The following is a 12,519-nucleotide window of genomic DNA, read 5'->3' as shown; positions in this document are numbered from 1 at the left end:
AAAAATTTTCTCCCATTTTGTAGGTTGCCTATTCATGCTGATGGTAGTTTCTTTTCCTGTGCAGAAGCTCTTTAGTTTAATTAGATCCCATTTGTCAATTTTGGCTTTTGTTGCCATTGCTTTTGGTGTTTTAGACATGAAGTCCTTGCCCATGCCTCTGTTCTGAATGGTATTGCCTAGGTTTTCTTCTAGGGTTTTTATGGTTTTAGGTCTAACATGTAAGTCTTTAATGCATCTTGAATTAATTTTTGTATAAGGTGTAAGGAAGGGATCCATTTTCAGCTTTCTACATGGCTAGCCAGTTTTCCCAGCACCATTTATTAAATAGGGAAACGTTTCCCCATTGCTTGTTTTTGTCAGGTTTGTAAAAGATGAGATGGTTGTAGATATGTGGCATTATTTCTGAGGATTCTGTTCTGTTCCATTGGTCTATATCTCTGTTTTGGTACCAGTACCATGCTCTTTCCGTTACTGTAGCCTTGTAGTATAGTTTGAAGTCAGGTAGCCTGATGCCTCCAGCTTTGTTCTTTTGGCTTAGGATTGACTTGGAAATGTGGGCTCTTTTTTGGTTCCATATGAACTTTAAAGTAGTTTTTTCCAATTCTGTGAATAAAGTCATTGGTAGCTTGATGGGGATGGCATTGAATCTATAAATTACCTTGAGCAGTGTGGCCATTTTCACGATATTGATTCTTCCTACCCATGAGCATGGAATGTTCTTCTATTTGCTTGTATCCTCCTTTATTTCATTGAGCAGTGGTTTGTAGTTCTCCTTGAAGAGGTCCTTCACATCCCTTGTAAGTTGGATTCCTAGGTATTTCATTCTCTTTGAAGCAATTGTGAATGGGAGTTCACTCATAATTTGACTCTGTCTGTTATTGGTGTATAAGAATGCCTGTGATTTTTGCACATTGATTTTGTATCCTGAGACTTTGCTGAAGTTGCTTATCAGCTTCAGGAGATTTTGGGCTGAGACGATGGGCTTTTCTAGATATACAATCATGTCATCTGCAAACAGGGACAATTTGACTTCCTCTTTTCCTAATTGAATACCCTTTATTTCCTTCTCCTGCCTAATTGCCCTGGCCAGAACTTCCAACACTATGTTGAATAGGAGTGGTGAGAGAGGGCATCCCTGTCTTGTGCCAGTTTTCAAAGGGAATGCTTCCAGTTTTTGCCATTCAGTATGATATTGGCTGTGGGTTTGTCATAGATAGCTCTTATTATTTTGAAATACATCCCATCAATACCTAATTTATTGAGAGTTTTTAGCATGAAGCATTGTTGAATTTTGTCAAAGGCCTTTTCTGCATCTATTGAGATAATCATGTGGTTTTTGTTGTTGGTTCTGTTTATTAGCTGGTTTACATTTATTGATTTGTGCATGTTGAACCAGCCTTGCATCCCAGGGAAGAAGCCCACTTGATCATGGTGGATAAGCTTTTTGATGTGCCATTGGATTAGGTTTGCCAGTATTTTATTGAGGATTTTGGCATCGATGTTCATCAGGGATATTGGTCTAAAATTATCTTTTTTTGTTCTGTCTCTGCCAGGCTTTGGTATCAGGATGATCCTGGCCTCATAAAATGAGTTAGGGAGGATTCCCTCTTTTTTCTATTGATTGGAATAGTTTCAGAAGGAATGGTACCAGCTCCTCCTTGTACCTCTGGTAGAATTCAGCTGTGAATCATCTGGTCCTGGACTTTTTTTGGTTGGTAAGCTATTAATTATTGCCTCAATTTCAGAGCCTGTTATTGGTCTATGCAGGGATTCAAATTCTTCCTGGTTTAGTCTTGGGAGAGTGTATGTGTCAAGGAATTTATCCATTTCTTCTAGATTTTCTAGTTTATTTGCATAGAGGTGTTTATAGTATTCTCTCATGGTAGTTTGTATTTCTGTGGGATCGGTGGTGATATCCCCTTTATCATTTTTTATTGCATCTACTTGATTCTTCTCTCTTTTCTTCTTTATTAGTCTTGCTAGAGGTCTATCAATTTTGTTGATCTTTTCCAAAAACCAGCTCCTGGATTCATTGACTTTTTGAAGGGTTTTTTGTGTCTCTATTTCCTTCAGTTCTGCTCTGATCTTAGTTATTTCTTGCCTTCTGCTAGCTTTTGAATGTGTTTGCTCTTGCTTCTCTAGTTCTTTTGATTGTGATGTTACGGTGTCAATTTTAGATCTTTCCTGCTTTCTCTTGTGGGCATTTAGTGCTATAAATTTCCCTCTACACACTGCTTTGAATGTGTCCCAGAGATTCTGATATGTTGTGTCTTTGTTCTCACTGGTTTCAAAGAACATCTTTATTTCTGCCTTCATTTTGTTATGTACCCAGTAGTCATTCAGGAGTAGGTCGTTCAGTTTCCCTGTAGTGGAGTGGTTTTGAGTGAGTTTCTTAATCCTAAGTTCTAGTTTGATTTCACTGTGGTCTGAGAGACAGTTTGTTATAATTTCTGCTCTTTTGCATTTGCTGAGGAGTGCTGTACTTCCACCTATGTGGTCAATTTTGGAATAAGTGCGGTGTGGTGCTGAGAAGAATGTATATTCTGTTGATTTGGGGTGGAGAGTTCTGTAGATGTCTATTAGGTCCGCCTGGTGTAGAACTGAGTTCTATTCCTGGATATCCTTGTTAACTTTCTGTCTCATTGATCTGTCTAATGTTGACAGTGGGGTGTTAAAGTCTCCCATTATTATTGTGTGGGAGTCTAAATCTCTTTGTAGGTCTCTAAGGACTTGCTTTATGTATCTGGGTGCTCCTGCATTGGGTGTATATATATTTAGGATAGTTAGCTCTTCTTGTTGAACTGATCTCTTTACCATTATATAATGGCCTTCTTTGTTTCTTTTGACCTTTGTTGGTTTAAAGTCTGTTTTATCAGAGACTATAAAACAGTGTTGCATTTCAACAAATGTTTTATCTGCACCAACTGAAGTCATGATGTGATTTTCTCCCCTTTGTTCTGTTAATGTGGTGATTACATAGATTAATTTTTATATGTTGAACCATCCTTGCACTCCAGAATGTATATTTCTGATAATATGATCTATAATCCTCATAACATGTTGTTGAATTTAGTTTGATAGTATTTGTTGAAGATTTTTGCATTAATGTTCATAAAATGTAAAGTCTGTAGTTTTATTTTCTTATACTGCCTTTGACTGACTTTGGTTATCAAAGTAATTCTGGTCTCATAAAATGACTTTGAAAGTTTTACCTTCTAATATTCTGAAAAAGATTGAGGATTAGCATTAGTCCTTATTTAAATGTTTGGTAGAATTCACTAGTGAAGCCATTAGGTTCGGGGTAATTTTGTATGTGTGGAGATTTTTGATTACTGATTTAATTTCCTTACTGGTTATAGATTTATTTAGATTTTCTATCTCTTCATAATTTACTGATGGTAGGTTTTATAAATCTAGAATTTTTTAAATTTCATCTAGGTTATCCATTTTGGGGACACAGAATTGTTTATAGTACTCTAATAATCAATGTTATTTTGTCTTAGAATTAGTAGACTAGTAATGCTTCCACTTTCATTTCTGATTTTAGTAATTTGAATCTTCTCTCTTCTTAGTTCATCTAGCTAAATATTTGTAAATTTTGACTTTTTAAAAAATCTTTTGATTTTCTTGATTTTCTTTATTGTTTTCTAGCCTCTATTTCATTTATGTCTGCTCTAATACATATGATATCCTTTCTACTGCAAGCATGGATTTAGTATGCTCTTCTTTTTCTAGTTTCTTAAGTTGTAAAAATTAGGTTAAGTAAAATCAAGGTCTTTCTTTTTCATAATATAAGCATTTATAGCTAAAAATTCCCCACTAGCACTGCTTTTTTATGTGTGATATGCTTTTGTACGTTATGTTTTCATTTTCTTTCATCTCAAGTATATTCCACTTTCTCTTTTGATTTCTTATTGATCCATTGGATGTCTAAGAGTGTGTTGTTTAATCTCTGTAAATTTGTACATTTTCCACTTTACTTTTGTTATTGATTTTTTAACTTCATCCTGCTATGGTTGAAAACAATATTTTATATAATTTCTGTCTTATTTAATCTATTGTGATTTGACTTTTGGATTAACATATGGTCTATCCTGGGAAATTTCCCAAATGCGTTTGAGAAAAATATGTACAAAAGCCTACTCCTTTGTGAGAAAATACTTCCCAAGACCTCCAGTGGATGTCTGAAACTGTGCACAGATAGTACCAAACCCTTTATATTTGATATGGTTTGGCTCTGTGTCCCCACTCAAATCTCATGTTGAATTGTAATCCCAGTGTTGGAGGAGGGGCCTGGTGGGAGGTGATTGGATCATGTGGTCAGTTTCTAATAGTTTAGCATGATCCCTCTAGTGCTGTCTTGTGATAGATTTCTGACAAGATCTGATTGCTGTAAAGTGTGTGGCACATTCCCCTTCCCTCTCTCTTGTCAGCCATGTAGAAAGCATGGCTGCTTCTCCTTCCCCTTCCACCATCATTGTAAGTTTCCTGAGACCTCCTCAAAAGTAGATGCTTGTACAGCCCTCAAAACTGTGAGTCAATTAATCCCCTGTCCTCTATAAATTACCCAGTCTCAGGTATGTATTTATAACATTGTGAGAATGTAACTTCTCTAGTACAAAAAATTTGTACTAGAGAAGTGGGGCATTGCTACAAAGATACCTGAAAATGTGGAAGCAACTTTGGAACTGGGTAATGAGCAGAGGTTGGAACAGTTTGGAGGAATCAGAAGAAGACAGGAAAATGAGGGAAAGTTTGGAACTTCCTGGAAACTTGTTGAATGGTTGTGACCAAAATGCTAATAGTGATATGAACAGTAATGTCCAGGTTGAGGAGGTCTCAAATAGAGATGAGAAACTTATTGGGAACTAGAGTAAAGGTCATTCTTTCTATGCTTTAGCAAAGAGACTGGCAGCATTGTGCTCCTGCTCTAGAAATCTGTGAAACTTTGAACTTGAGAGAGATAATTTAGGGTATCTGGCAGAAGAAATGTATAAGGAGCAAAGTGTTAAAGATGTGGCCTGACTGCTTCTAAGAGTGAATGCTCATATTTATAAGTAAAAAGATAATCAGAAACTAGAAGTTATATTTAAAAGTGACACAGAGGATAAGAGTTTAGAAAATTTGCAGCCTGGCCATGTGGGAGGAAAGAGAAACCCATTTTCTTTTAGAGAATTCAAGCTGACTGCAGAAATTTGCAAAAGTAAAAAGCAGTCAAATGTTAATAGCCAAGACAATGGAAAAAAATACCTCCGGAACATTTCAGAGACCTGCATGACAGCCTCTCCAATCACAGGCCTGGAGGCATAGGAGGGAAAAATGATTTCGTGGACCAGGTCCAGGGCCCCGCTGCTATGTGCAGCCTGGGGACATGATGCCCTGCATCCCAGCTATTCCAGCTTCAGCTGTGGCTAAAAGGGCCCCAGAAATGTCTCAGGCTTCTGCTCCAGAGGGTGCAAGCCATAAGAAGCCTTGATGGCTTCCACATGTTGTTAAGCCTGCAGGTGCACAGAGGGCAAAAGTTGAGGCTTGGGAGCCTCCACCAAGATTTCAGAAGATGTATGGAAATGCCTGGATGATCCCGGAGAAGTCTGCTGCAGAGGCAGAGCTCTCATGGAGAATCCCTACTAGGACAGCATAGAGGGAAAATGTGGAGTTGGAGCTCCCACACAGAGTCCCTCTTGGGGCACTGCCTAGTGAAGCTGTGAGAAGAGGGCCAACATCCTCCAGACCACAGAATGGTAGGTCCACTGACAGCTTGCATCATGCACCTTGAAAATCTGCAAGTACTCAATGCTAGCCAGTGAAAGCAGCTATGGGGGCTGTAACCTGCAGAGCCAAAGGAGTGGAGCTCCTCAATGCTTGGAAGCCCATCTTTTGCATCAGTACATCCTGGATTTGAGAGATGGAGTCAAAGGAGAGTATTTTGCAGCTTTAAAATATAATAACTTCCCTGCTGGATTTTGGATTTCTGTGGGGCCTCTATCCCCTTTGTTTTGGCCAATTTCTCCCATTTGGAATTGGAGCATTTACCCAATGCCTGTACCCTCATGATATCTTGGAACCAACTAACTTATTTTTTATTTTACAGGCTCATAGGCAGAAGGGATTTATCTTGTCTCAGATGAGACTTTGGACTTGGACTTTTATGTTAATGCTGGAATGAGTTAAGACTTTAGGAGACTGTTGGGAAGGCATGATTGATTTTGAAATGTGAGAAGGACATGAGACTTGGGAGGGGTCAGGGGTGGAATAATATAGTTTGGGTCTCTGTCCTCACCCAAGTTTCATGTTGAGTTGTAATACCTAGTGTTGGAGGTGGAGCCTGGTGGGAGGTAAGCAGATCATGGAGTTTGTTTCTAATGGTTTAGCACCATCCCCCTAGTCCTGTCTTGTTATAGAGTTCTCATGAGATCTGGTTATTTAAAAGTGTTAAAAGTGTGTGGTACCTTTCCCTTCACTCTCTCTCTCTCCTGCCATCATGAGAAGATTCTTGCTTCCCCTTCACCTTCTGTCATGATTGTAAGTTTCCTGAGGCTTCCTTTTAAGCCTGCAGAACTGTGAGTCATCAAACCCTGTTTTTTTCATAAATTACCCAGTCTCAGGTAGTTTATAGCAATGTGAAAATGGACTAATAGAGAACAAAACAGTAGCTCTTTCTAAAATAATTTAACAGGGATTAACTTTTTGAATATGAATACCTCGTAACAAGTAAATAGTCATATATATATATAATTATTAAATAAAATCACTTGAATAAAAAATGCAAGGGTTATGAAAAGACTATTCATAGAGAAGAATGCTGAAATGTTATTTTAGTTTGATTGTACTGCTACAACAAAATACCTGAGGCTGGGTAATGTATAAAGAACAGAAATTAATTTTCTCAAATTCCTGGAGTCTTGGAAGGCCAATATCACAGCACCAGAAGAATTGGTGTCTGGTGAGGAAAACTTCTTGCAGTTTCCACACATGGTGAGAGGGATGGAGGGGCAAAAAAGGGCAAGCTAGTTCCCTGGAACCCTATTAGAAGGAGCACTGATCTATTTATGAAGGTGGAAGCTCTCATGATCTAATCACCTCCTAGAGTACCAAATTCTTAATACTATTGAACTGGGGATTAAATTTTAACATGAAATTTCAGGGGCACTGATATAGTTTGAATGTGTGTCTCCACCCAAATCTCATATTGAAATGTAATCCCCAGTGTTGGAAGTGGGGCCTGGTGAGAAATGATTGGATTCTGGGGGCAGATTTCTCATGAATGGTTTAGCAGCATCCCTCTTGGTACTCTCCTAATGATAATGTGTTATTGTGAGACCTGCTCATTTAAAAATGTGTAGCAACCCCTACCTTTCTCTCTCTTGCTCCTGCTCTGGCCGTGTGATGTGCCTGCTGCCCTTTCATCCTCCATCATGACTGTAAGTTTCCTGAGGCCTCCCCAGAAGCCAAGTGGATGCCAGCATCATGCTTCTTGTATAGACTGCAGAACTATGAGCCAATTAAATCTCTTTTATTTATAAATTACCCAGTCTCAGGTATTTATTTATAGCAATGTGAGAACAAACTAACACAGACACACTCAAAATATAGCATTCATTAAACATATGAAAAATTGTTCAACTTCACTAGTCTAGGAATTATAAACATAAGACAAACATAAATGAAATATACAAAATGACCCATTATTTTATATCCATTAGCTAAGCAAAAACAAAAGTTGACAGTAGAATGTATTTTTTGTTTTCATTTTTGTTTTGAGATAGAGTCTCGGTCTTTCGCCCAGGCTGGATTGGCATCTCAGCTCACTGCAACCTCTTCTTGGGTTCAAGCTATTCTCCTGCCTAAGCCTCCCACATAATCACAAAACTTAATTAAACTGGTAATTTGTAAACTCTATGAATGGCAATTGTACTTGATTACATAGTGTAGAAATTTTCTAACACATACAATATTTCTGTCTCAGGATATTTGGGGCAGCTTTGTGTTAATAGTGATATACTAAAAATGGCCAAGTGGCTAAGTACTGGGAGAATGGAAAAATAAAATGTGATATATTTGTATAATTCAATACTTCATATCAATTAAAAGGAATGAACTAGACTTCTTTTGAGTCATAGGTGGACTCAAAAACATAAATGTTGAGAAAAATAGGTAATTTAAAGAATGAGACATAATATAATGTATATGTGAATTTAAAGATAATACTAGACACAAATCTACATAAATAGGTTTGTCTATTTACCTATCATATATATGTAAATTTAAAGATAATACTATATACAAATCTATATAAATGGATTTGTCTATTTATTTACCTATCAGGAATCTTTATGCATTCATCAATCTATTCATCTTTCAATCAACCCATTGCTATATTCATGTATCTAAAATATTTTTAAATGGGCTAGAATAACACACATTGAATTTATGAACATAGTTGCTTGGGGATGGGGATGCAGTTTGCTGAGATGGAACTGGAAAGTAAATTCAACTTCATTTGTAATGTATACGCTTTTTTGCTTAAAAAATAGACAAAGCAAATTTCACAAAATACTATTATCTATTTTAGGTGGTACATAGAGTTACATGCTATGCCTTCCATGCTATTTTTTATTTTGATCTTCTAACTTATATGAAAATACTCCAAATGAAATAATTTAACATAGGTAATGATGAATTTTCAGCCCTTTAAACCTGAATATATCTTTATTGACTAGAGCAGTCAATATGGTCATCTGTGTGCAACATCTGTAATGTGCTGAGAAAAAATTCATAAGGGAATGAAATTGGCATTTTTCCAGAGTACCCAGATCTATGCAAACCTTGCCCTGTTATTTACTTCTGCTGTGAGAGAATTGATTCCCAGAGATGAAGTAACTACAGAAAATCAGAAATAAAGGAGGGCCCAAGAGACTGTCCTAAAAGAGCCTTTCATTGGAGTGATGAAGAAACTGAGGTTCATGTGGAAGAAGCAACTTGGCAAAAATTATACATTCTCATTATTGGCAGTAAGTTTTCTTGACTTCTAATTGTGCACACTATGTAGAATTACAGGTGCTCCTTATGGGAACCCAAATTATTTTTTCCTGTTTCAGTGACATTTGCTTCTGGGTAAAAGCAATGAAGTCAGAAGCAATACCAACTAGTCATTCCTGTAATCTGCCCTGAGCCAAGTAGCAGAGGTAGAGCACATTAGACAGTGACTTACCCCCAGGTCTAGGTTGCCATCTCTCAGTTGTCCGGTCAACTCATGGGAGCCCCCGCGTTCCTATGTCCCCATTCCAGCTGTGCTTCCTGTGCCTTTGGCTTCACTCTGATTTCAGGAAGACAAAAAGAGGGTAAACTTCCTTCTTGAAAGTTGCAATTTTGCAGCTTGCAGGCTAGAAAGGTTCTTCTTAATAAAGGTTAGAATTAATTAAAAGAGAAGGTCAAAAGGGTTTAACTACCTAGTGCTCTGGAAGAACTACAGGTCACACATGAGTGACTGTTATTGATTAAGCATTTTGATTGCCTGCTCAGATAATCAATACCAAAGAGTTAGACTCTTCAAAATATTAAACAAAATGAAGACAAGGATTTTAGCTTGGAGCCTGAATTTTTAATGTTTCAATAAATTTGGGAGGAAATTTCTGTGCATCCAGGTGAGTTGCAGTGGAATAAGGAAAGGTGGAATGATGGATTATTGAGCTGCTTGGAAAGCAATAGTTGCTGCCTGTGGCTCTTGTAATTCACTCTGGAAAGATGCGTCTTGAGGCTTGTGGTAAGAGTAGATCAGATTTAATGAGTATATTTTTCAGTATCAGAAAGTAAGGGATATTTTTCTTTCAATTAAGGACAGAAAAAGCAACTCCTTATTGGAGAATCTATTTCAAATGTTAAAGGAAAGTGGTGACAATTTGTTGTTTTCATTGTATAACTGAAAATAGCCAAACAGTACAAAAGCAAGACTTTCAAGATATCTAAAAGAGAGGCCGTGGCAGAACTAAAGGATCATGCCATTTCTTCCCCTAGAGGCAAGAACTAGTGTTAATATGATACTTAGTAGGGACCAGGAAATGCTGATTCACTTGATTCCCATAATAAGCCTCTAAGGCAGATATTAATGTTATCCTCGTTATATAGATTATATCATTATATAGATGCCTAATGTCACTCAGGTGTTAATAGCATAGCTATTATCTGAATTGAGGAAGTCTGTATTCCCTATCACCAGAATAAAATTTTTCAAACATAAACATATATTGAAATTATGTGGAGAACTTGTTAAAACAGACTGCTGGGTCCCACTTCTAGAGTTTCTGATTTAGTAGGTCTTGAGTCAGATCCAAGAATTTGAAATCTAACAAGATCCAAAGTAATGCAGATAAGGCTGGCCTACGACCCTACTGCCTTTCGTTATTGCACATAATAGCCCTTGGTATGTCACTACTTTCCTACCTAGGATTCTGCAGCACTCATGCTGCAAATGGCACAGCACAAGTGTGATTATTAGACTGTCAGTTCCTCAGGGTCATAATTAATCACCCAACCATAACACCACAGATATGTCAAATTTTTTGATCAATAGACTAGGTAAAAAAAAATACAAGTGCACTAATGAAAGGTTAAGTAAGTGTACCGTGTATTTTATTATGTTTTAGGTTTAGATATGACACACATTATAACTAAGGCAAATCATTTGTGAGTTGAGTTATGAATATAGCTGTGTGCATTTTATATCATTTGATGCTAGTGGCCCTATTCCCAATTATTTGGTGATGGTTCATCATGTATATTTTTATACCCCTAAGCTGTTTCTTTTGACTAGAAAACTCCCTCATTTCTTACTAACAAATAGACATAATACTCACCCTTCAAGGTCCCACTCACTCTCTACTGTAAAGTGTGAAGTTTCCTAGTTTAAAAAGAATGTGAAATGATAGATCACTGTTCCCTGAACTAGATTATAGCAAAAACAGGCTGAACTCCAAGTCAGTAGCTTGAAATCATCAAAACATGAGCTTTGTTAATTCTTCTTGTCATATCAAGATGTATTCATCTCTATTATTGTCCTTTTCCTATATTTACTAACTTTTCCATTGACCTTAGGCAATGAGTAGCTTGAGTTTAAGAACCAGAATAAAGGAAATAAATGCATAACTGAGGTCTTGACTTTTGTGAGATTCTAGGAAACAGGCTATATCAGCTTATCAAAGTACTCTAAATTTTCATGAAGTAATTTTCCAGAATTTCAACTAATAGAAGGGCCTCACAGTCTTTGAAGTAAAAGACTTGAAAATGATATTCAGTCTAGCAAAATTAAGGCCCTTGAAATGCATAAAACCCAACCATTCTTTAGTAGAGTTTGCTTTATCCTGGAATTCTCCATGACCCCATTCTTATATCCTTACAGAAGCACCACTTAGCTTTGGAAGTTAAAATCAAATAAACATGAGGGCAACTTCTCAGTCTTATGCAAAAAGCAATGAATACTGACAATCTTGCGGTTTGACTCTTATTCAGACAATGTAGGGAAAAGTGAATTCCTCAAGATCTTTCTTCCTTCTTTCTAAGGCACCTACGATGCTTTGGTGTTGATAGAACTTAGGGTCAAAATCAGAAAGAAATTAGCCACCCCATACTGTCTGGAATGCAAGTTAGTCTTCCTTGTGTTTTGCAGTTAAAAAGGGAATTAGTAATGAAATACTTGAAATTCAGAGAGCATGAGGCACCATAGAATTGGTACCTGTTATGATAAGTACTAACCACGTGAACACAAAATATGGGTTTTACAGGAGACACTTGAAGCTTCAAGTTCTTGAGAAATCAGAGAAGTGGCAGATCCAAGAAGCCAAGTTAGGTCTCAGATTCCAGATTCTATGCATATAGATCTCCTTATCGGATGCTTCACATTGCCTGACTTCAAAATATTCTACAAAACTGTAGACAAAAAACAGCATGGCATTGCTATAAACACAGACACATAGATAAATGGAACAGAACAGAATATCCAGAAATAAATCTACATATTTATAGCCAACTGGTTTTCAGCAAAAGAGCATATATTAAAGAAAGGACACCATCTTCAATAAATGGTGCTCTGAAAACTGGATATTCATATGCACAAAAATACAGCTAGACCCCTATCATTTGCCATTTAGAAAAAATCAAATCAAAGGGGATTAATGACTTAAATGTGAGACCCCAAACTATAAAACTACTAGAATAAAACATAGGCGAAACACTTCAGGACATTGGTCTAGGAAAAATTTTATAGGTAAGACTTCAAAAGCTTAGACAACAAAAACAAAAATAGACAAGTGGGATTAATAGTAAATGAAAAAGCTTCTGCACAGCAAAAGAAACAACCAACAAAGTGGAGAAACAACCTGTAAAATGGGAGAAAATATTTGCATACTATTTATCCAATAAGTGACTAATATCCAGAATATATGAGGAACTCAAATAACTCATCAGCAAAAAAACAAATAATTTGACTGAAAATGGACATAGGATTTCTCAAAGGGAGACATAAAT

General features: G+C 36.8%; 1 long non-coding RNA gene across 1 annotated transcript in view; it reads right to left on the bottom strand.

Moving 5' to 3' along the window:
- The window catches only part of LINC01499 (long intergenic non-protein coding RNA 1499), a 121,875-nt gene that overhangs the window by 92,455 nt on the left and 16,901 nt on the right, over nt 1-12,519 (bottom strand). The window contains exon 2 of the long non-coding RNA NR_120584.1: nt 9,212-9,316. This is a non-coding gene — a long non-coding RNA (long intergenic non-protein coding RNA 1499). The remainder of the gene's footprint in view (nt 1-9,211; nt 9,317-12,519) is intronic.

Source organism: Homo sapiens, chromosome 11, assembly GCF_000001405.40.
Source record: "Homo sapiens chromosome 11, GRCh38.p14 Primary Assembly".
In the NCBI taxonomy this organism is placed as follows: Eukaryota; Metazoa; Chordata; class Mammalia; order Primates; family Hominidae; genus Homo; species Homo sapiens.
This window is presented reverse-complemented; position numbering and strand designations above follow the sequence as displayed.